Below are 25354 nucleotides of genomic sequence, written 5' to 3'. Positions count from 1 at the left end.
TGGATATGCTCATTACCCTGATTTGATTACTGTACATTATACATATCGAAGCATCACTATGTACTTCATGAATACATACAATTATTATTTGTCAATTAAACAAATTAAGTTAAAAATTAAATTACATTAAATTTTTAAAAACCAGCAGGGTTGGAAGGGAACAGTAATGAAGCACCTATTAGCACTACACTCCCATCTGGGTGCTCTAAATGCATGAGGCTTGCGCTGACTGATGGAGGCAGGGTTGGTTGTCAGGGAGGCAGGCCCCATTACCAGCAGGCCCAGCTCAGTTTCCACATCCGACGCAGCTGGAGTTGACCATTGGTCTTAAGTTGTGTCTTTGGCAGAAGCACAGTTCATCTTCTCAGGATATCCAGGCAGCTCTGGCCAAGGCGCACTCACTGGCTTTTGGCAGCAGACAGAATTCCTACTCAGTGCTGGGTGCTGGTTAAATAAGCAAATGATCCAATCTGGGGTCCTGTCTGACTTCAGGCTACTTAACAAACAGGAGCCTCATGATCTGGGAAGTCCTTGAACTTCTCCCATCACTCCCCACCCCATCACACCATTGTCATCATTGATAATAACCAGTGTGTTAAGTAGGGTAGGGTACCACTTTCACTCGTAGATCTCTGAATACCAAAGGTTTCACTCTGAAGTTCTCTCAGGTCCTTCAAGGGTGATCAGGATGATAATTATGGCCACACTTTAAGTCCCTACACTGGATCAAGCAATCACTTATTACATATATATTAGTCCATTTAGTTTTTCAAAAAAAATTTGGGGGGTGGGAGGTCACACTCTTATCACTGTTTTCTATGACATAGGGAAACTGAGTCATGTTCCCAGGGTCTGCATAGCTAGTAAGTTCTTGGAATGGGAAGTGGTCCCAGTTCTGATTCCCAAAAACACATGGCTTAACCATGCCCTTTAACTCAGCTTTCCTGAGTCCCAAGGAGGAAATCCCATGCTCTCTCCTCAGAACTCCCCCAACCTTTGCATTTCTGTGGACACCTGTCATTTACTTGCATGGCAAGGAAATATGTTGCATAGTGCTTGGCACATAGAAGGCCCTGAGAGTACTTGCGCTTCTTGCCCTTCCTCCTGAAGGCAAGCCCTGAATCAGAGTCAGGTTTCTAATGCCGGCAGCCTGGTGCCTGGCACGTGGTTGGTATTTGGCTGTTTCCGTAGCTCTGTTGTCTTGTGGAGCCTGGGTCTGACTAGAGCTTTATCACACTGAGCACAGCAAGGGCACACAGTAGGTAGCTGGCAAACCCTGGCTGGCAGATGAGTGAAGGAATCTGTACACAGTGGGTGGTGAAGAATTCTAGTTATCATCTTCAGCATGACTTTGCATTTTCATAGAGCATGCAACAAGACTGGGAGGGTACATGTTCTGTAGTGGAATGAGCAGGGGCTGAAAGACCTGAATTTTAATCCTCTCTCATGGTGATAGCCCAGGAAAGTCAGAAACTCCTTTATCCTCTGTCCTTTCACCTCTAAATGAGGAATAACAGTCCTTAGTTTAATAGGTGTTCTATGGATGAAATGACATGATTGAAAGATCACTTGACGGAGTGCCTGACATGCGGTAAATTGATAAATTTAGTTGTTAAATCATTCAGCCCATTCATTCAGCTAATATTTATTAAACACCTACTATGCACCAGGCATTATTCTAGATCAGGAGTTGGCAAACTGTGTCCTATAGGCCAGCCCCGACTCACCACCTGTTTTTGTAAATAAAGTTTTATTTTGGAACCCAGCCATACTCTTTGTTTACATGTTGTCCGTGGCAGCTTTTGTGCTCCAAGGGCAGAGTTGAGTAGTTGAAACAAAGACATCAGGTCATGTGAAGCCAAAAATATTTACTCTCTAGCCTTTTTCTATGAGAAGTTTGCCAATCCCTGTTCTAGATGATTAGGATAGAGCCATGAACACCAACAAAGACAAAGCTGTGCTCTGTTTTCATTATATAATGTCAGGTGGTGATAAGGACTAGGAAGAAAATAAAGTGATGCAGGGGAGTAGGGAGGTAGAGTGGATGGCTATTTAGATAGAGTGGCTTCTCCCTTGAGGTGGCATTTAAACAGAGCTCTGCCTGTGAAGCCATTGACTTCTTCACAACAGAAAGCTTCTGTTGGGGAAGGGTAGGAGAGCAGTAACAATTCAGGAATATTTTTAAAGTACCTACTGTGTGCTTCATGCTGGGGACCGAGAAGTTGAACAAAACTGGAAAATTGTTAGCATTCTCTGATTTTTATTCTAGAGTCTGTGCAAGACCCAGACAATAAAGAACTACCAGAAAAAAAGAAAAAGGTTTAAACTTTATCTTAAGATATAAGATGAAAAGTGCTGTGGACTAAAATATGATATGGTAAGAGCTGATAAGGGGGAGAATGTTGCAGTTTTTTGTCGTCTTTTTTTTTTTTTTTTTTTTTTTTGAGACAGGTTCTGCTTTGTTCCCAAGGCTGGAGTGCAGTGGCACAATCATGGCTCTTGACAGCCTCTACCCAAGTGATCCTCCCGCCTCAGCCTCCTGAGTAGCTGGGATTACAGATGTGTGCCACCATGCCCAGCTAATTAAAAAAAAATTGTAGAGTCAGGGTCTTGCTGTGTTGCTCAGGTTAAGAGTGTTGCAGGTTTAAATGGGGAATCAGTGTAGGCATCATGGAAAGGTGAGGTTTGAATATAGAGTTGAGAGAGAGAGAGGAGTGAGCCAGGCAGACATGGGGAATAAGAACATCTAGGTAAGGACCAGTGCAAAGACCCTGGGATGGAAATGGGCCTGATCTTTTTGAGGAACAGCAAGGATGCTGGTGTGGCCGGGGAAGATTTAGGAAGAGGAGAGCGCATGATAGTATTTGAAATCAGAGAGTACTGGGCTGGGGCAGGGCTCGGGGGCCAGCATAGCACCTCTGTTTTAAAAAACACAAATGGTAAATTCTCCTCTAGAAACTTTTAATCCAAGGCAGGAGCAAAAGATGAGTTCCAAAGGGTTTCTGCTGGAGAAAAGTCAATAAAATTGACCCCAGAGCTGAAGAACCACTGTCCTCTTTGACAAGAAAGTGACTCAATTTAGGTCAGAGGAATTACGTCGTAACCAGATATGTTTCTCCAGGGGGGAGGCCGGATGCTGTAGGCATTAAAAGGCACAGACTTGGTACTGCTGGGCAATTAAAGTCCACCATGGTTTATGACAGCAGGATGCGTGCCGATAAAAATGAGCACACACCCCCACAGGTGTGGCATGCAGACACACAGTGTCAGAGTGTATATTCGGTGAGGCTTTAGGATGGATTATTATCTTCCCTTCTGTGGCTCAGGAAAACACACCGTGTCCATACCCACCCTCGCCAGTGCAGGAAGCAGTTTCCAAGACAGCGGCTGCCCAGGTGCCATGGGCATCTGTATTGCAAGCAGATGCTGCTCCCCACATGGAATGTGGTGCAGAAGGCTGGCTGGCATTTGGTTGAGAATATGTCCTGAGGGGGTTAGAAAGAAGAGAAATGGGGTAGCTATTTTTGAGTGTCCTGCTGTTGGGAGGGGGAAGATGTTTTCTCTCTTCTGATAGCTGTAGACCAGTGGGAAAGGATTTTTCCTACTCTCTTTTCCCTCATTGAGCACTGTGTACCCAAGTGTATCCTTGCAGAGTAGTTTGGTGATGTTTGTTTCAGCTCAACAGGCTCCCAAAATCCAGTTCAGCCTGCAGAATTTGTTTTGTCAGTGCCATTACCCGGCCACCTGCTGGGTGCAGAGGCGTAAAGCATTTGTTAGCTGGGCACATATTGTGTGTTAGGAGTTTTTGCATCTCTTCTCGGCGTCGCCTCACCAAAACATCTTGAAGAAGCGAGACAGCTGTCTTTGTCATCCTCTCCATTTTACAGATGTGAGCATTGAGGCTTTCAGAGATCATGCCTTGGCCAAAGTCACCCAGCCAGTAAAGGGTGGAATGAAGTTTTAAGCTCTGCCCTTTTGATACCATCATCTTCATGGGTAGTTTCTGACCTACCGAACCCATGAGTCTTGGCTCAAAATAGCATTGTGCCCATTAGCACTTACAAGGTATGCTCTAGGCACTATCAGCAGAATCAAGAAAAGAAGGGCCTGGGCCTTGTCTCTGGAGAATTTACAAAACTAAAAACTAGTGGGGGTATTCCAAGTGGTAATATCCACTTATTCCAGCAGATTCTGAATATCACTGGACTGTTTTCTGAAACTGCATTTCTTTCCCAAGCCCAAAGGAGACAGGCTTTCCAGAGCTGAGGGGCATCCTAGTTCATCCTGAGATTGTGGAAACCAAATATTTAATAGTAATAACATTTTGAAAGTGTTTGCTAAATATTTGGAATTGTGTTGACCCCTTCCATTGTCTTATTTAAGAAACGAAATGTATTGCTACTTTATTATTATAAAGATACCAGTCTAATGCTGATCGGGTACTTAAAATGTGCCGGTAAATACTCCAAACCCTTCATGGTGTTGGCACTTGCAATTCTTAGAACCTCATCAGGTCAGTACTGTTATTGCACTCATTTAACTGAAGAGGAAATGGAGGCCCAGAGAGAAGTGCTGGAGAGTGCTGGAGACTGGAGAACCTGAGCTTGCTCTTATACAGTGTTCCAAGGCTTCTCAGCCCTGGAGGTGCATGAGAATCTCCTTGGGAATGTTTACAAAACACCCATACCACACCCTGCTCTCAAAGATCCTGATTTCACTGGTCTGGAGTGGGGCCCAGGCATTAATGTTTTTGTTGGGTTGCTTTAATATCATTTTTTATGGTGTATTATAACTCAGAAAGCGTAACACAATGTACAGCTGAATTACTGTAAAGAGAACAACTGTGTCACCACCAGGAGCAAGACCATTGCCAGTACTTGGGAGGTGCTGCACTGTCCCTTTCTACTCAAGCCCAGACTCTCCCCCAAAAGCAATCTCTATTCTGACTTTTATGCTCATCACTTTCCTACCTTATTGTATGCTTTCATTCCCTAAGTATTCATTCCTAAATGCTATACTTTTTCTTTGTCTGTTTTTGGTTTTATATAACTGGAACCACATATAGAAGGTGTTAACTTTGTGTCTAGCTTTTTCCACTAAGTCTTACGTTTGTGAGTTGTATCCATGTTGTTGCATGTAGCTCTAGCTCCTTTTCATTGCTGTGTAGAATTCCATTGTATAACCATACTACCAATGGCAGTCGATGGATATTTAGGTAATTTCTTATATTTTATTATTACAAATAATGCTGTTAGGAGTGTTTTTGTATGTGCTTTTTGGAACATACATGCGTGTGTGCTTGCAAAGTTTGTACCTAGGTACACAACTGCTGGTTAAAGGGTACATTAATCTTCAAATACATTACATAATGTCTAGGTGTTTTCCTGAGAGGGTGTAGCATTTTATACTCGTAGCAATAGCATGTGAGAGTTCTCTCTACTCCACATCTCAACCATCTTTCATGTTGTTAATGGTTTTAATTTTAGCCATTCTGATGGGTATGTGGCAGTGTCTTGTTGTGGCTTTAATCTGCATTTCCCCAGTGGCTTCTGGGGTTGCTCACTTTTCATTTGGTTAAAAGCCATGTGGATATCCTCTTTCATGAAGTGAGTACTCTAGTCTCTACATCACTTTTCCATTAGGTTGCCTGTGTTTTCCTTACAGATTCTGGATACAAGCCCTTTGTTAGTTATATGTGCAGCAAATGCCTTTTCTCACTCTGTGGTGTTTCTCTCTATTGATGTTTTTGTTGTTATTGTTTTGTCTTATGAACAAAGGTTTTTGTTTGTTTTGAGTCAGAGTCTCGCTCTGTTGGCCAGGATGGAGTGCAATGGCGCAATCTCAGCTCGCTGCTGGCTTGAGTAATTCTCCTGCCTCAGCCTCCCAAGTATCTGGGATTACAGGCATGTGCCACCACGCCCAGCTAATTTTTGTATTTTTGGTAGAGACGGGGTTTCACCATGTTGGCTAGGCTGGCCTCAAACTCCTGACCTCAGATAATCCAACCACCTCAGCCTCCCAAAGTGCTGGGATTACAGGTGTGAACCACTGCACCTGGCCTGAACAAAGATTCTTACTTTTAATGCAGTGAGATTGATCAGTTATGTCCTTTATGAAAGAATTCATGAAGATTTCTCCATTTTTTTCTTGAAATTTCATTTTTTTAAATACTGAAGTCTACTATCAAACTGGAATTTATTTTTGTATATGGTGTGAGGTAGAGGCCAAATGTGTTTGTTTTTTCTTTCCACTTGATACCAAATTTTTCCAGAATGTTTTTTAAGAATCTGCTTTATCCATGTATGTGTCGGTATTTAAGTTTCCCACTATACTCCAAATCATAGAATGGAATCAGAACCACTGCATGATGATTAAAATCACGATTCATGTAAGACACTTGGGTAGAAGTATAAAATCTCAATGAAAAATGTGAAAACTATTACTAATCCTACCTTCCAGAAATAACTCCATTAATCTATTTTATGAAGAGAAGCATCTTGTCTATTTTATTTGGCAATGCCTGGAACCAGGCCTGACATTTAGTAGATGTTTAATCAATATTTTTGAAATAAATAAGAAATTAATAAATGAATGAAACTTTAACCCCTCTCATCTTTTTTTTCTTTTTGTAATATACAAATCTAAGTCATGCTATACATGCTACTGGCAACATGATTTATTCACTTAAGTATAGCCCTCAACTGTTTTCTAATATTATTTTTTTTCTAATTGATGATGTTTAATAGTTTTCTTGTATTCCATCAAAGGTAGAAAGTTTTTAATCGGTACCCTATTGTTGAACTTGTACATTATTTTTACTTTTTAACTAGAATAATGGCACTGTCTGTTCTGAAGTTTTCTCGTACTCTTTAGTTTAATTCTTCAGAATGTATTCCTAGAAGTGGAGTCAGTTGGTCAAGGTGTGAATATTTATACATATTGTTAAACTTATTACCAAATTGCTTTAAAACAAATTTAAGTCCATTTAAAATTTAACGAGCAAACAACGACTATGCCTCTTTTCCAGAATCTTTTGCATGATCATTTTTAAAAATCTGGGCTCATTTGATGGAAAAAAAAGTCATATCACATTTTAATTTTAATTTTTAATTGATTTATTTCCAGTGAATTTGAAAATGTTCCTTGTTTAACCCTTTATGTTTCTTCTTCTTCTTCTCTTCTTCTTCTTCTTCCTCTTCCTCTTCTTCTTCTTCCTCTTCCTCTTCCTCTTCTTCTTCTTCCTCTTCCTCTTCCTCTTCTCCTCCTTCTTCTTCTTCTTCTCCTTCTTCTTCACAGGGTCTTGCTCTGTTGCCCAGGCTGGAGTATAGTGAGGCGATCATGGCTCACTGTAGAGTCAACCTCCCAGGTTCAAGTGGCTAATTAAAAAAATTTTTTTTGTAGAGATGGGATCTCACTATACTTCCCAGGCTGGTCTCAGACTCCTGGACTCAAGAGATCCTCCTGCCTTGGCCTCCCAAAATGCTGAGATTGCAGGCCTGATCCACTGGGCCCAGCCTATTTCTTCTTTTATAACTCCCAGGATCTTCTAAGAGGTCTTTATTTACTGAGGACAGTAATCTTTTGATATCAGATATATTGCAGATGGGTTTCCCAAATTGTCACTTTTCTTTGAAGTTCATTGTTTTTTCCTTCTTCAAAAAATTCACATTTTTATGTATAAAATCTCCTCTATCAGTCTTCTATTTTGTGGTTGAGTCTTAGAGTTTCTACTTCTTAAAGCCTTTCCTTTATTGTCTTAGTGAAACTAGCTCTAAGTTTTCACTATTAATTAAGATGTTTCCTATTGGTTTCAAATAATTCTTGCCATATTAAGAAAGTATCTTTCTATGCTACTGATTTTTAAAAATTGGGAACGACATCAAACTTGATTAATTACCAGTTAGATATCTATTAAGGTGATTTTATAAATTTTTCCTTTGACTTACTGATGTAATGACTCCCATTGGAAACTTTTCTAATGTTGGGCTATCTTTTGTGTTCTTGGCATGAGCCCTATTTTCAGACGTCTTGAATTATGCTATCCTATTTGGACATGATGATTTTCTTTTTCTTTTAATATGCTCTAAACTCTCCTACCAAGATTTTACTTAGGATTTTGGCTTCTGTGAGTATTTGAGAGAATGTTCTTTCTGGTTTCTCAAATTTTAATTGAGATATAATAATTGTATGTATTTTGTGGGGGAAAGTGTGATGTTTCAATACATATACACATTCTGTAATGATCAAATCAGAGTAACTAGCATATCCATCACCACAAACATTTTTCATTTCTTTGTAGTGAAGATATTCTTTGTTTTTTAAATCATATTGTTGTTAGTTTTCAACATGATGTAATGCTCCCCAAAATGTATTTAGAGAATTTCTGTTTTTCCTTAGAGTCAGAGGAATGATTCATAAACCATTCCAGGAAAATAAAAGATAGTGCAACATTAGAAGAGTTTCTAGTAGGAGTCATCACATTAATAAGTGAAAGAAAAAAATTATATGATCACCTTAATAGATGACCAGTTGGCAATTGATCCAGTTTGATATCTGTTTCCAATTTTTTATATCAATAGCATAGAAATAAACCTCTTTAATATGGTAAGAATTATTTGAAACCAATAGGAAATATCTTACTTAATGGTGATAGTTTAAAAGGATGATTAATTTTGTATGATATCCCTCAAGATTTTTTTTGAACTCACTTTGGTAATTTATATTTACCTTTAAAACCATCTATTTCACCAACTGCTTCAAGGATAACTACACAGAACTAGCTATAATTAATATTTTTGAGATTTAAAAACTGATATATATCTGTGATTATATATGCTTCCTGAGAAAATTTTATTTGTCTATGTTTAACTGGCTCTGATTTATATTTCAATTTTACTCTTAATTTATATTTTTATATTTTTAATTTTATTAAGCTGTTTTTAAGAGTAAAAAATATTCCATTGAAACCTTACTTTATTTATTTTAATCTAGCCTCCTTTAATATTGACAGCATGCAAGGCTATACATTTTCCTCTAAGGACAGCTTTGGATACCACCCTTAAATTCTGATGTGAAATGTCATTTCTTTTCCAATCAGGAGAGTATGCTTTTTTAGGAACGTGTATCAAGATCTCCTGAAGGATTTTTCAGACCACATAAGCAATCCCTGAAAGTCTGATCTTTCCCTGCACCATCCCCCCATCCCAGGGCCCTTTAATTTATTTTTTACTTTTTCTTTGGTACTTTGTTTTAAATGTGTTTCTAGTAGATACAAAATTGTTAGACTTGATTTTTTTTTTGCCCGGATAGAGTGTTTTAAGGATATTTAAACAAATTTTAACTTATATGCTTGATTATCCATCATCATTACCATCTTGTTGTGTTTTATGCTTCCTGTTCATTACACTTCCTTGCTTTTTCCTTGCTCTTATATTTTTTGTTTTTTGCTAGGGGCTCACTGCCACACCTCCTTCTAACTGTAACTTTGTACCCATACACAAATTTGTCCCCATTGCCCCTTCCCCCTCTCCTACCAACTTCTAGCAGCCAGAATTCTGCTCTTCAAGGTGAGGGTCTTCTTACTGCATCATTCCATGGTGGAAGGAAGAGAGGAAGGGGAAGAGCAGGGGAGGAGAGTGTGAGAGAGCAGAAGGGGTAGAACTCACTTTTATAACAAGCCCACTCTCAAGATGACTAACCCACTCCCTGGATAACATTAGTCCATTCTTGAGGACACAACCTTCCTGACCTAATGGCCTTGGATTGGGCCTCACGTCTCTACACTGCTGCACTGGGGATTGAGTTTCCATCATGTGAACTCTGAGGAACACATTCAGACCACTGCAGTCTCTTTGCTGGCATGTTAGGCTCCCCAGAAAGCACACTCTGAGTTGGACAATGGCATGCATGCTATTTCTAAGGAAGTACCTTTGACATTGGCAACTGTAGAAGGGAAGGAAAGGAAGCAGCACTGAGCTGAGGGAAGAGTTGAGCTGCGTTGCAGTCCCTGCAAAGGCCTCAACTGACTTCACGCAATCTCTGAAGCTGGGATGATCTCTCAGAATTGTTTCAAGTTGGGGCAAGGGGGCTGCCTGTTTACTTGTGTGTTGGTGAGTCATTGGCTGTGGACCACATGTGGAAAGAGGCATGATCTTAGGTGAGGAGTTTTATTTCAGCCAACATAGTCCTCTAAGAGCTGGTTGCTGAGGTGTTCTTGTAGAGAACTCTGGCACCCTGATGAGGGTCATCTTTTGTTCCAGAGGGAAGATCTGTTGGCAGCACAGCATCTACTGCAACCTGCTATGTCCTGGTCACTGGGAAAAGCATTGCATGTGGATTATCCTGTTTAATTCTCCCAAAATCCTGTGAAATAGGTACTATCAGTGTTTCCATTTTACAGATGGGAAAGTGGGGCAGCAAGAGATTAAATGACTTAGCACTAGACATAGAGTAGCAGAATTGATACTGAAACCTAAACTGTGTGACTTTAATATACTGCTTCTATCGATCAGAAAGTTATGAGTCCTGCTCTTACTTTTCCTGGCAGTTACTTTTAAATATTAAAAAACTCCTTGAACTCGTGTTTCTCAAATGACTATATGCTTTTGTCTCCAAGTTGCCGTTACACATGAATGACCAGCTGACAGGTATAGAATTCTTGGGTTGCAACCTTTTCCCATTAAGCCCTAGCTTGGATGTTCAGCTGCCATCTGAGATTTAATGCACTGTACCAAGAAGTCTTTAGGGCCCTCTGATTCTTTTATCTTCCATTGTACATGACCTCTTTACTTCTGTTTGTGTGCTTGTAGGAGCCTGTCTCCGTCCTGGAATTTGAAAAATTGCCATCACATTACTTCAAGATGTTTACTTCCTTCCTATCTGCTCTTCTTGTGAAGAAATCGCTCATTCATCCTTTCGTTTATTCATCTTTTGAAATATGTTGGTGCTCAGTCCCTACCAGACACAGTACTAGGAGATGTGGACACAAAAATAAGAGCTATAGCAGCTCACCGGGACAAGGGAACAGATAAGAACACAAAATGCAGTGTTGTGGGGTGAGCATGGCTGGGGAAACAGACCTAGCAAAGACTCACTGAGTCAGAGGGCAGGTCTTAGGGCAGAGAAGCCTTCTTGTAGAAGGTGAACTCTGATTTGGGGTTTGAAGGATGCATAGGAATTTGTCAGGAAACAAACTGGTGTTCTAACACTGACTCCCATTCTCCTTAGTTAGGCCTGACAAAGTGCATTACAGCAAATTGTAGCTAAGACTTAACTCAGAAACTCTGGATGCTTTTCCTCTATTCACTCATTTAACCCTTATTTTTCAGAGGAGAAACTGAGACCCAGAGAGGTTACCTGCCTTGCCAAAGTTACACAGCCAGGATGTTGTAGAGGCACAGTTTGGTTCCTTGCTCAGCAATGCTCAGAGGCCGATCTGATCTTTGGAAACAGGAAAAAAGTCATCTACAGATAGGTTCCTTTTCCATCAGGAAAACCTTCCTACCACCCTGTCCCGATCCGCATCCACAAGGTCTGCATCCTCTGTGTGTGCATGTACCAGGCACTGCTTCGGCTGCTGAGGGCTGTAGAGATGAACAAGCACAGTCCTGTCTGTCCCTCCAGTGTTTAGACCCAGTTGATGTTATATGGCGCTGGGGCTCAGCCTAGGTCTGTTAAGTATATGAAGGTGGGGACCCCAAACCATCTCAGTGTCAAGTGAATGGACCAGCCTGTAGTTACTGCCTTCTTCTCTTTGCTTCATGGCCCCTGTTGCAGCCTGAGGCTTTCTCTGACCTCTGCTGCCAACCCAGCCTCCCCCAGCCCCAGATCCCTGCAGGCTGGCAGTGCCTCTACCTCCCTCGCTGCCCTGGCCCTGTCACCATGGCGATCCTACAATCTGCAAGAAAAACTCACTGCACAAGCCATTTTTCATGAGAAAATGTCTGATTTCTCAGGCCCTGCCTGCCGTGTGGCCTCAGGAGCAGCCGGAGGCATTCCTCTGTAACCTGTGCCTTCTGTTCCCCTTATCTTGGATCTTCATTGGGGTGGGTGAGCACTTGGTCTTCAAAGCAAAGTTGCTGGATTCATGGGGAAAGCAGGCAAAGGGATGGTTTGGGTGTGGGGCATTTTCAGCTGTGGACCCTTGGAAGACAAGGGGTTGGAGTTTTTTCTATTTAGAATGAGAGAGTTTTAGGAAGAATTAGGTACTTCTCATGATGATGCTGTGAGGCTGGAGCCAGGTCTGACAATGTAGAGACTGCCTCATTGAATCCTTCCAACAGCTCCCTGAGGCAGGTACTTGCCTTAGCTCCATTTTACAGATGGAAATGCTGAGGTTCACAGAAGGTCAATAACTTAGCCAAATGAACAGAGCTGAGAAGTGGCAGAACCAGGATCCGGGTGCAGGCTCCTTTGATTCCTTACCTGGCTCTTCCATATTATTACCCACCAAGGATGGTATGCCCGTGACACCCTTCTCCTATTCCCTTCCCCAATTCACAAGGAGCTCAGAGCCTAAGCCTGCACTGACTCTCTTGAGGCTAAAGGCATCTCTTTCTCCTGGGAGCTGGCCACCTGTCTCCACACTTCACTTCAAAATGCCTGACCCTCCCAGTGAGTTGGTTAAAAATCCTGTAAAATTTTACAGTATTTGTCTTAGTCTGTTTTGTGTTGCTATAAATTAATACCTAAGACTGGGTAATTGATAGAGACAAGAGGTTTATTTGACTCATGATTCTGCAGGCTGTACAAGTGTGGCTCCAGCATCTGCTTGGCTTCGGTGAAGCCTCAGGAAGCTTTTACTCATGCGGAAGTGGGAAGGGGAACAGGCATGTCGCATGGTGAGAGATGGAGCAAGAGAGAAGGAGCAGGATACACGTTATTTTAAACAACCGGCTCTCACATGAACTGATAGAGTGGGAACTCACTCATTACTATGAAGACAGCACCAAGCCATTCATGAGGGATCTGCCTCCGGGACCCAAATACTTTCTACCAGACCCCACTTCCAACACCGGGGATCACATTTCAACATAAGATTTGGAAGGGACAAATATCCAGACCATGTCAGCATGCAAATTATTTTTCAATAAAGGTGTTATTAAAGAAAAAAGAACTGTAAAGACTTAAAACTGTATTACAGTATGCCTTCTGGCCAGCCTGCCCTGGGAGGCAGTCCTGCATTGCTTGCCATTTAATCTGATTTGGACAAGCTCTCTGCCTGGTTAGTTCAGTGGACAGATGCCATGACGAGGCAGGCCTCCAGGCTCCTGGTGAGATGGGATTTGGCTGACCAGCCCAGAAGGGGTCTACCCACATGTTCAAGATGTTTCCTGTTCATTTCTGCCAGGAGGCTCAGTTTGACCTGAGACAAAGTCTGCCCAGGCCTTACTGATCCCCTGGTGTACAAGGTTGTGGGAGAGGACTAAGCTAAAGTAAAGGGAAGGTCTCTCTGGGTGCATTTGAGCTGCTGGGCTTTGTAGCTGGGGTTTGGGGGTGTTTTGCTCCTTCTGCATCCATCACTAGAATGTCAGCACCACAAGGTCAACACTTCTTTTGTTCACTGATTATCTTAAGCACCTAGAACAGTGCCTGGCAATAGTAGGTGCTCAATAAGTTATTTGTTGAATAAACGAGCTCTAGTTGTAGGCTGGTAGGAGAGTTACCTTAATGGGGAATTTTTCTCTTGGGGAAAGTGTTCTCCTTGTGTTTCCAGCATAACAGTTCTAGAATTCCCTACAGAAGCCCTAGAATTCCCTAGAATCCTAGAAGACCTAGAATTCTCTACAGCTCTTGTTTGGGAAGGGCTGTCGTTTCTTAGTGGAAATCTCTGCTATTAATGAATCCAAAACCATGAAACTTGGTGAGTGTATGGAAGTGTCTGGCACATTTGTCTGAGTGTGCCATCTCAGCTGTGGAGCTTTCATGAATGCCAATTCGGGCTAGTGTTGGACTGTCTCACACAGGGAATGAGTTTTGGTATCAGACCGATCTGGGCTTGAATGTTAACACTGCCGCTATTCAGCTGTGCAGTCTAAAGCCAGTGGCCTAACCTCTCTGAGATTCAATTTCCCTGTCTAAAATTATGGATAACGGACCAACCTTGTGGTGGATCGAGCATATGTGTGCAATGTCCTTAGCACATAGTGGCACTCAGTAATTACTTTCAGGTTAATAGGTTTCTTGGCAGCGCTGACTGCCCATTTTCCCTTTGCTCTATCCTCCCTTCTTTGTTCCTGGAGCCTCTATTCAGATGCACCATGCCCTTCTCCTCTTCCAAGGTTGTTTTTTTTTTTTTTTTTTTTCTGCTTTCATTTCTTTTTCTGTAGAAAGAAGGTATTAGTTCCTGCCCAATCTCCCTTGGCCATAGGGTCGTGATGAGCTGGGACTTTCTCTGGGGCTGGGAGGTCTGCAGAGCTGTGTTTATCACATCTCTGCATGCACAGTACCCACCTAATACAGGCAGGCTATTCCGTGAATATTAATTAAATGAACTGATGGTTTTTCTCTGGGCATTTTCTCTCACTCAGCTGTGGGACTGACTCCCTGGGAGGGAGGGAGGGAGGGTGGGAAAAAACAGAAGGTAAGTCTGGTGAATGTGGCTGAAATTCCTGCAGCCACGGGTGTGTGGGTGTGAAGGGTGGGAGATGGGAGATGGAGAGGGAAATCCAGACATGTGCAGGTGGCAAAACAGCCCCACCCTTTCTGGAAGTGGGCAGCTTGGGAAGCAGGCAAGGCAGGCTTCTTAGTCTCGGGGGCTGTTTTGCATGATAATTAGCACTTCTTCATCCGGCTTCTGATGAATAATTTGATCCAATAAGGTCGGGAAAATCACTTCCTATCTATGCAGGTGACCATATCTATAAAGTAGCCATTGAGATGCTTGCCTCTTTCTCACGTGTAATTAGTGAGGTTGGAAGGGGCTATGTGCTCTGTGGTAGCCCCACAAGAACCTACACTTTGGTCTTCACTGGCCTGGGCTCAAAACCCATCTCTTCTGATGCCCAGCTGTGTGCCGGGTGCAGACAAGTGGTTTCACTTCTGTACCCTTCAATTCTCATCAGTAAACATGAGGCTTTTAGTCTCTTAAGAAGTTCTTGAACAAAAATGAGGCAATGGGCTAATATTTTCTCATACCCAGGCCAATGCTTAGCACACAATAGGTATTCAATAAAAGCCATTTTTACTGTGTTTCTTCTTTCATTGAATAAAGCGTATGGTTGTATATCTATACATTGTGGTAATTACTATTATCATCACAACTAATAATAATACCCCAGGATTTGTTGGCCTTCATACAATCATAGGTAGGCTAAGCCAAAAAATAAATGTAAAAAAAAAAAAAAAAAGATGCCAAGATTTCCTCAGGAGCTTCTAGAAAGTAAATCAGGGGTATATATTATAGCCCCAGTAGTAATAGCAACTAGCAAATACTTAATTTGGTGAGATATATTCCATGTCTTTGTCTCCTGAACAATTAGCTAGATGAATAAATAGCTGTCTGCCCTGAGAAAGGGAACATAATATGCAATTAAAATTAAGGACGTTCTATTTGAGGGGACCTGTTACATGAAATTACAGCAGAAGGCAATTGGGGAATATTATTATTTTGCATATTTAGGAATCAGGATAATTAGAAGATGCCAAACACGTAGGGCCAACTGGTAAGGGTTTGGGAAGGGAAGAGGGAAAAAGACCTCACCTTGTGGGATGTGGGCATCAGTGGGAGGGTAGCTGTGCATGTTATGTACAGAAAATAGGGTGCTTGGAGCTATTGTAAATGATGAGGGGAGTCCTAAGGGCTGTGATTGTGGAGAAGAAACTTAGACCCTCAACTGAACAACATGAGTCACATTCCTGCCCCTCCATTTTGTTGTTACATCATTTGCTCTTTCCAAATCTTTGATTTCTTCCTCATCTGAAAAAAAAATAGAGCTAATCATTTCGACTACAGAAATTTGTCACAAGGATTAAAAATGAGACAATCCATGTAATGTGCCTGATAAAGTACTTGCAAATAGGAAGTCTTTCATAGACATTAATTATTATGATTCTGTTCATTGATGTGTAGAGAAGGTAAAAAGTGAACACATAAACCCGGTTATAAATAGTAACTGTATGGTTAGAATGCTTTGGGCTGCAAGTAACAGCCAACCAAAATGCAGGGGACTTCTGTATGAGGGGTGTTTATCATCCTATAGAACAAGAAGTCCTGGCTTGGTTAACTCAACGTTCAATAACTTTATGGTTCCCATTGGCTTCTCAGTGCTTCTTCTGAAGTCAACTGTGAGTTCCTCTCATATTTAAAAGATGGCTGCTACTCTTCTGAATATCACATCCTTCTGCAATTATGTTTGGAAACAGGAAAAAGTATTTCTTATTGGAAGTCTCTTTTGCAAGCCTAGAAGTGTTTTGCTGCTTCCACCAGACTCCCTTGTGTCTTATTGCCCAGAATTGACCACATGCCTATTCTTCCACTCACAAATCAATCATCAGCAATAAGAATGGAACGAGTGAGACTTCCTCTGGCCTAGTCAAGATCGATGTTTTGGGAACAGAAGGGACCTCATTTAAAGCACATGGTCCCTCCATTCGGAAAACAAACAAAAATATTCTATTAGTGAACAAACTGTAAGAGAATGGTTTGGAAGTGGCAAGGCAAGAGTATCTGTCTTAGTATATAATATAGTTCCATTATTTAAGGCAATGTATGGAAAAGTGTCCTGGAAAAAGTAACACCAAGATGATAATTGCTATAGCAATATGATTGTTGCCATCGGATTGGAGTATAAATTATATTTACCTCCTTTTTAATGTTTTTAGTATTGTCTTTCTTTTTTTTTTAAAGAGAGAGTCTTGCTCTGTCACCCAGGCTGGAGTGCAGTGGCATGATCTTGGCTCACTGCAACCTCTGCCTCCCAAGTTCAAGTGTTTCTCGTGCATCAGCCTCCCAGTAGCTTGGACTACAGGCAAACCCACCTTGCTTGGCTAATTTTTGTATTTTTAGTAGGGACGAGGTTTCACCATGTTGGCCAGGCTCATCTCAAACTCCAAACCTCCAACGATCCACCCACCGTGGCCTCCCAAAGTGCTGGGATTTCAGGTGTGAGCCACCATGCCCGGCCATATTGTCTGACTTTTAAAAAATGTGTTTGTATGACTTTCATAATCAGTATCTTCCACTTTTTTTTGAAAAAAAGTGTCATTTTTTCAAATAAAATAATCTGTCCTTGTAGAACCTTCTTCCAAGTCCATAGAATATGTTGATTACTGTGTTTCCAAGGATGGGCCCTATTTGTGGCAATGGCATTGGTATCCTATGGGCTGCAGTCTAACAATGCCAGTGTTTCTTGAGTTCCAAATGCTCTTGACGGAGTGAATTCATTTAATTATTGACATAATCTTCTAAGAAAGACCTTGTTATACCTATTTTATGGATGAGAAAACGGAATCAGAGAGAGTAAAGTTATTGACCCGATATTACTCTGGCTCCAAGGACTACCATATTTGAAGATAATTCCACTAATATTTATCAAGCACCCACTATTTACCTATCACTGTGCTTAGCCTTGGACATGGATGAGAGTCATAAACAGGACAGACAAACCATCCCTGTAGGTTTTATAGTCTCAGCCAGAGCTAGAAACAAGCAAGCCAGCAATTTCAGTAGAGTGTGACAAGTTCTGTGATGGGTTGGGAGGCCTGCGGACTCCCTGACCCAGCCTCATCCTCCTGCCCCTTCCTTACCTCTCGTGTTCCTTTGTTCCTGCTCTTTAACCATCAGTCCCTGTAGTAGTCAGGGAGAGACAGGACCAAGAGGATATACAGAGATATCTAGAAAGGCATTTATTATGAGGGATTGGCTCATGTGATCCTAGAGGCTGAGAAGTCTCTTGATCTGCTGTCTGCAAGCTGGAGACCCAGGGAAGCCAGTGGTTTAGCTCCAGTCCAGCTATGAAGGCCTGAGAACCAGGAGTGTCCAGAGCCAAAAGCAGAAGAGGGATGCCCTAACCAAAGCAGAGAGAGCAAATTTGCCCTTCCTCTGCCTTTTTGTTCTACTTGGGCCCTCAGTGGATTGGATGGTGCTTACCCATGTTGGTGAGGGAAGTCTACTGATTCAAGTGGTAATCTCTTCTGGAAACATCCTCACAGACACACCCAGAAATTATGTTTTACCAGCTGTCTGGGCATCCCTTAGCCCAATCAAGCTGTCGCATGAAATTAACCATCGCAATTCCCTTTTCCTCTCTCTCTCCTTCGTTGTGTCCTTATTTTCATAGCTCAGTCTCTTCCTCATTCTTTCCCTTCACCCACTCCTTCCAATTATTTGGAGTGGATGGCAGTTGCATGGTGGAGGGGATTAGCACAGGACTAGTGCTCTGCTCTTTGGGGATCCAGTTCCTCTTCTGATTTAAGTCAGTGTCACTTATCTCTCTAGGCCTCTAATTTCTTAATGAAATGAAGAGAACAATTCCTGCTCTGATTTTCAGATAGGATGGCTGGGAAGATCAAATATGCTAATAGATATCAAAACAACTGGCCAAGTGGCAAAAGATATGCAAATGTGAGTTACAATTTGCAGGTGTCAAAAAACAAAGAGATTGGGATCAACCTCTTAAGTGTCTGGACAGTCATATGCACAAAAGCAATGTATTTTCTAGCTCAAATCGCTTGAGGCTGGATGGCACTTTTCTCTCTCAGTTCTCAGCATGTAGGCTTCGTTGCCTGAAATTCTTCCATTCCTTTCTCCCTGCCAAAAAACTCCCAATTAATGAAACCACTGCTCTGTGTGCCCAGGGCTGGGTGAGTTATTGGGAGAACAATGTGAGGACTGTACGGAAGCACTTAGTTAAATGCACAATTGTGGACTGCCAGCACCGTATTTGGAACAGAGTAATTATACTCGTTATAATGTAAAATGCTGCTGATTGGAAGATAGGCCGTCAATTTAACTACAACTTTTCAAGAAGAGAAATATCAGAAGTGTTAAATGTACACATCAACTTAAGACATTCTGATTTTAGAAATATAATAATGTGGGGAGAAAAAAGCATGCCTCTTAGAATTGAAGAATTAGGGTAATGACTGGAAATGGGAATTTGGACAGATGAAGTTAAGTAGAGAGAAAATAAATCTGGCATGCTAGGCAAGTTCAATTAGAGAAAAACATCCACATGCATGTTCCATGAGGGCCTGACAAGAGATACGCCTGGGCTTCGTGCTAACTCATCATAGTGAATAAGACACCCCCCTGCCCTCAAGGAGCTGAAAGTCAGTAAATGAGACCCAGATTTCTAACCTGAATAATTGACTCCAGAGTGGTGAATGCTAGCATGACGAATGACATGCGAAGAGAGCGTAAGGTGAGCATAGGTGAGCATTTACCTGGCATGGGGGTGATAGGGGTCAGGGGAGAATTTCTAAGGAAAGTGATACCTGTTGTGAATTTCCAGAGGTGAAAAGGAGTGGGCCAGGAGAAGAGGCCGAGATGGCATTGGAGAGAGAGTGTAACCCAGCAAAGACACATGGGTGGGAATTGTTTCCGTGCATTCTTGCAGGGAGAGCCTAGGAGAGGGAGGCAATGTTCTAGGGAACAGATCAGCAGGGAACAGAACCACTTAAAGCAGCTATTCTTAAAGTGTGGTTTGCCCTTTCTCCATACCCCAGGACCTCTGAGACAGTTCAGGAAGTCTGAGAAGTCAAAGCTATTTTCATGATACTAAGATTTCATGTGCCCTTTTCAGTCGCATTCTCACAGGGGTGTACAGTGGAGTTTCTCAGCGGCTGCAGAATGAGTGAGATCAAGACAGATTGAATGCTGAAGCAGAGATGTGAGCTCAGCTGTCTCCTATTAAACCAGACACTCGAGAGATTTCCCAAAAGGCAAAAACAGTGCCATTCTTTTCAGTAGTGATTACCTGTTTTGGAAAATGCAGTGATTTTTTCATAAATATATGTTATTTATGCAAACAGGTAATAAGTTTAATATTTTTATATTTAAATAAAAATGTGTTTAAAATATCTTAGTTTTAGTTTGTAATGCAGTGAATGTTGGTGAATATGATCCATATAAATGAAAGTTCTTTGGGATTTCTTATAAAATTTAAGTTTGAAAAAAACACTAGATTCAAGGTTAGCTTTCTTCTCAAAGAGCTAAAAATGGAACTACCATTTGACCCAGCAATCCCATTACTGGGTATATACCCAGAGGAATAAAAATCATTCTACCACAAAGACATGTACACATGAATGTTCACTGCAGCCCTATTCACAATAGCAAAGACATGAGATCAACCTAAATGCCCATCAATGACAGATTAGATAAAGAAAATGTGGTACATATACACGATGGAATACTATGCAGCCATAAAAAAGAATGAGATCATGTCTTTTGCAGGAAGATGGATGGAGCTGGAGGCCATCATACTCAGCAAACTAACCCAGGAACAGAAAACCAGATACCACGTTTTCTGAGTTAGAAGTTGGAGCTAAATGATGAGAAAACGTGGATGCACAGAGGGGAATAACAGACGCTGGGGCCTACTTGAGGGTGGAGGCTGGGAGGAGAGAGAAGAGCAGAAAAAAATTAGTATTGGGTACTAAACTTAGTACCTGGGTGATGAAATAATCTGTACAACAAACTCCCGTAACACGAGTTTACTTATGTAACAAACCTGTACGTGTACCTGTGAACCTGAAATAAAAGTTTTTTGAAAACGTTAGCTTTCCGGGAGGGGTGTGTGCCGCAAGTGCCAGCGGGGGGCAGTACTGGGCCAAGGCCCCTGCAGTAGGAGGTAGGATAGAAGTGGGTCGGGGAGTGGAGGAGGATAGTGACCTAAGGGAAAGCCTCAGGCAAGACATCCCTCGATGAAGTTTCTCTGCTCTCTGTTCTAGAAGTGAGTCACCATTTCCTGAGGTGCCTGGTGCTGGAGCTGGCATTTGTCCTTTATCTTGTCTTTACAACATCACCATGAGAAAGGGGCTGGTAGGTTTTGCATTTTATAAGGGAGGAAACAGGGTCAGAGAGGTCAAGTGGCTTCCCTGACAACATGGAGCAAGTCGGGTCATGGCCAGTGTTCCAATCCAGGTCTGTCTGACTCCTGGGCCCTTGCAGTTTTCTCCGGTGACAAGTGGCCTCCTTGACAGGAGGGAGTTTGAGGCTCTGGTCCATGAGAGCTGCCTGGGGCTTTCGTCCTCCCCTCTGGCTGCCCTGTGGGGTGGTCTCTGATGGCACCCGGGAGAACATGCACCCTGGGGGTGGGGGTAGACTCAGACGCTGGTACCCACCTCGGGGAGGGTGGTGGATGCTGATCTGGCAACATGACTCTCCACTGAGGGGGTTGCCGTGGCCTGCAGGGGCTCTGGAAAAAGTGTGCAGGAGTGATGAGCTTATCCTTGGGTGGAACCAACCTGGGGAGCTGGGCAGGGAGGACTCATCTTCAGGGCAGCTGTCTCCTTGTAGTCGTTCGGCAGAGCTCACTGGGCACCTGTATCTGTCAGGTGCTAAGCTTTGTCCAGTGGGAGAGAAGAGCAAAGACCTGTTAATTTCTTTCAATGCAGTCAGCAAGCAGGGGCAGAATTGACATTGGGTCTTGGGGGCTCTGGACTTTCACTTTGTTCTTACGCTGGTTAGCTAGGTGACCTGGGGCATTGACTTAATCCCTCTGTGCCTCAGTTTCCTCTGAGTCAAATGGAGATAGTATATGCAAGTAGTTAAATGTAGGTAGGTGAGAATTAGACAAAGAAGTACATGTCAAGCTCTTAGATCTTGTCCTGGCAGAGAAAAAGCACTTGATAAACGTCATTCCCAGCATCTTATTATATGATTCTTAGTATGTCATATTAATATCTGGTAGCGTTTTAAGGCCCATCTCCTCATGTAATTTTCACAGTGGGTCTGCGTGTTAGGTGTTTTATTATTGCCCAATGATATTAATAAATATATGGAGTCCCAGAGAGGTTAAGTGACTTACCCCAGGTGTAGGTCTCCAGGGCTCTCTCTCTGGTCTCCCTCTCTGTGTGTTCAGACCGCAGGTGGCTGACTTTTCAATGCCCATGTCTGACGCTGGAGGCCCTGAGTGCTAGTATGACTTGCCTTAAGAGGAGCCCCCTGGTGAAAAAGGCCTGCATGGGGCTGGGAAAGCGCAGGGAGATGGGATGAGCCTGGTGGTCCATTAGCGAATCAGAATCCCAACCAGGGACTGAGGCCATGGCAATTCTGTGAGATTCTATTATCTCTGGTCGTGTTTCTGTTCTTTCTTTGGTTCTTTCTTTCCTCTACCTGCTCCTTACTAACCATGCTAACGTTCACAGGGAACTTTCCCCCAGGAGCCGAGCTCTGCAGTTTGCATGCCTTTCTGCCTCTAATATTCACAACCGGCCCATGAGCTGATGCTAAGGAGAGTGATGGATGCTTACCTGAGGCCTACCCTGCTGGGCTCTGCTCTAAGCGTTTTTTTTTTTGTTTTTTTTTTTTTGAGACAAAGTCTCACTCTGTGGCCCAGGCTGAAGTGGTGCAATGGCACGATCTTGGCTCACTGAAACCACTGCCTCCTGGGTTCAAGCGATTCTCCTGTCTCAGCCTCCTGAGCAGTTGGGATTACAGGTGCATGCCACCACTCCCGGCTAACTTTTTGTATTTTTAGTAGAGATGGGGTTTCACCATGTTGGTCAGGCTGGTCTTGAACTCCTGACCTCAAGTGATCCACCAGCCTCGGCCTCCCAAAGTGCTGGGATTACAGGTGTGAGCCACTGCGCCCGGCCTCTAAGCACTTTTCTGTCTTCACTCCCATCTCAGAACAGCCCTGGGGGAGTAGTATTAATAAGGTGTCCATTTTACAGATGAGAAGCTTGAGGTTTGAAGAGGTGGAGGAAATTGCCCAAGAACATTTAGCTAGTGAGTATCAGAAATAAGACAGTGTCAGAGACAGTCTGATTTTGGAGCCATCCATGAAGCTGCAGCCTTGGAAAGAAAAGCCCTATGGAGCTGACCAGTGGGGTAAGCAAGAAAGGGAACTCAGAATTTTGGGACAGAACCACTAAGAAATAGAATCATGATGTTAGAAGCCCAGAGGAAGCCATTAAAGGGCTGCGGATGTTCCCCTGCTGGAGATGGGGCTGCAAGAGGAAGCAAGGAGACAGCATGGGGAAGGATAGGGCTGGGACAGGAGCTGGCAGTGATGGGTAAGGCCTGGGGCTAAATGGTCCTGAAAGACTGGCTGCTCTTTACTGCAAGGCTTGACCGAGACTTTGTACCTACCCTGTGCAAAACGGTATCTTAAATTGCTACAAATCCCCCCTGGAGTAGCTCTCAGGATTCAATCACAGGCCGCAGCCTAAGGAAGGGTGCTCACCAAAGGGCAGTGGCATAATGTGTTTGCTGTGTGCGGAGGGAGATTGAAGAAACATGAGGCCTCCTCTGCTGATATTTACTTTGGAATTATTGACTGTTCATGTTGGAGCTAGTGCTTGGGAGGATGCAGCCTGTGCTTCTTGACTCTTAAAGGGATAAAGCTTTACCTTCTTCGTGGAGAGTGGTGTTGGTTTTTGCCTGGTTGTCCTAGCTTGGCACAAAGACAAGGATCGCCTTCCCTGCCTCTGAAGATACTTGTCCCCACTTATAACAGAGCAAGATCTCAGAGAGGGATTTCTTTCACAAATCCTGCTCTTCTGTGGGGACCAGCATATTGAAGGTAGCCATAGGTTGTATTTATTTACTTGCCAGTCATTTCCATCTCATCCTTGATGACGCAGGTCAGACATCTCCTCCTTTGGGAAGTCTTCCCTGACTGCCCATGTATAAAGTTGACAACCGCAGTAGGCAGACTCTTAGTCCCATTTAGAGCAATTATTAAGTACCTGCTTTGGGATTCAGTATCATTTCCAGTAGATCATATTGTAATGCCACATGGTGGCTAAAGACTCCAGAGGAAGACATAGGCCCAACAAACTACCAGAGCCCTGTGAAACAACCAATCAACAAACGTGCTTACTAAGTGCCCCATGTCCCACTGAGGGAGATAAGAAAACCTCAGTTCCTGACCTCAAGGAGAGTCAGATTGAAGATGGAGGAGAGGGTAGATAAGGCAAGGTTGTGAGAAGATTTGTGTCCACACCAATCTTTTTGTGCCTGGGAGTCAACAACAAATGTATCTGGGAGTGATCAGAGAGGGTGTCCAGGAAACGAGGGATATTCCCAAGGATTTGCAAAATGGGGAGTGCACAGAACCCTAGAGTAGTGGTTTAAGGGCTTAGACTTAGGAGTTCTGGCCCCTGCTTTGCAAATTGCTTGCTCTTGGACAGTGTAACTTTCTATGCCTCAGTTTCCTGATCTGTAAAATGGAGATGATGACTGACTTCACTGGGTACTGGTAAGTAGTAAGCCAGGTTAGGCATGAGAAGCACTTTGCACAGAGCCTGGCACATTATTTAGCATTTGAGAAATACTGCCTGTTGTTATTAACCAATTATTGTTAATATTTTTATTAACAAATTATTATTTCCAATAGTACCAGTAAGAAGGGCATTCCTCGCTATGGGCTCTGCTCCCCAGGGTCTTCTCAGCCTGGAGTGCGTGATTCCCACCTACACCAACTGTGTAACGAGTTCCCCCGTTGCTCTGCAGCTGAATTTGGCTTGAACGTCTTGCTCTCCTCTTCCCAATTGATTGGAGCTGCTTGAGGCCCTGAGGAAAATACGGGGCTCTAATGGCACAAACAGAGAGACTGCCAGAAGGAGAAGGCTGGCAGCTCACAGATGCTGCCCTGTCCCCACACCAGCTGGCCAGTGGTGCTGAGGACTCACCCCCAGGCAAGCATCAAAGCATCAGGAGGACATTACAGGATACCCTTAATCATACCTGTTCCTGCTGTGGGGTCAGCTTTCTGCAAGAAGTTTCAATTGCTCATTCATTCATTCATTCATTCATCCATTTAGCAGGCACGCATTGAGCACCTGCTGTTGCTCAAACATTGTGCTGGGCACCAAGAGGATCACAAATACAAATTCGCTGTTTATTCATGCAGGCATTCAGTGGATATTTATTGAGTGCTTCCTGTGTGTGGTCATTGTCCCTGCCCTCTTTGAACTTGACAAACTGGAGGTAACAGCCGTTGGAAACCATGAATAGGCAGAGGAGGTGCCTAGATAGAGTGCTGAGAGTCACAATATAAGAGTCAGCCAGGCTAGGAGACAGCAGAGGTTTCCACCAAGTCTTAAAAGATGAGTGGAATTCCAGCAAGAGAGAACAGGTGAAAGGGCATTGTCAGCAGAGGGAATACAGCAGCATGGGAAAGCCCTAGAGTGAGGAAAGTGTGGATAAAGAGCCTCACTGTGAGTGGGGATAGTACTGGTGATA

The 25354-nt window shown here is 43.0% G+C and overlaps 1 protein-coding gene across 4 annotated transcripts in view, besides 2 other annotated features; it reads left to right on the top strand.

Annotated features, from left to right (window-relative positions):
• KCNQ3 (potassium voltage-gated channel subfamily Q member 3) overlaps positions 1 to 25354 on the top strand; it is a 360235-nt gene that overhangs the window by 85861 nt on the left and 249020 nt on the right. The gene's annotated exons all lie outside the window — the stretch shown is intronic.
• Positions 954 to 1135: a silencer, noted in NCBI's record as "fragment chr8:133406347-133406528 (GRCh37/hg19 assembly coordinates)". NCBI's record gives its function as "represses an EF-1alpha promoter that drives an FKBP-Casp9 reporter gene in an ReSE screen in phorbol 12-myristate 13-acetate-treated (for megakaryocytic differentiation) K562 erythroleukemia cells {active_cell/tissue: K562(+PMA)}" and the evidence as "EXISTENCE:reporter gene assay evidence [ECO:0000049][PMID:32094911]".
• Positions 1086 to 1587: an enhancer, noted in NCBI's record as "NANOG hESC enhancer chr8:133405895-133406396 (GRCh37/hg19 assembly coordinates)". NCBI's record gives its function as "activates a minimal SCP1, AML or CMV promoter by ChIP-STARR-seq in primed H9 embryonic stem cells {active_cell/tissue: H9 hESC(primed)}" and the evidence as "EXISTENCE:reporter gene assay evidence [ECO:0000049][PMID:30033119]".

Source organism: Homo sapiens, chromosome 8, assembly GCF_000001405.40.
Source record: "Homo sapiens chromosome 8, GRCh38.p14 Primary Assembly".
NCBI lineage: Eukaryota > Metazoa > Chordata > Mammalia > Primates > Hominidae > Homo > Homo sapiens.
The sequence above is the reverse complement of the archived record's forward strand: the minus strand, read 5'-3'. Positions and strand labels throughout refer to the sequence as shown.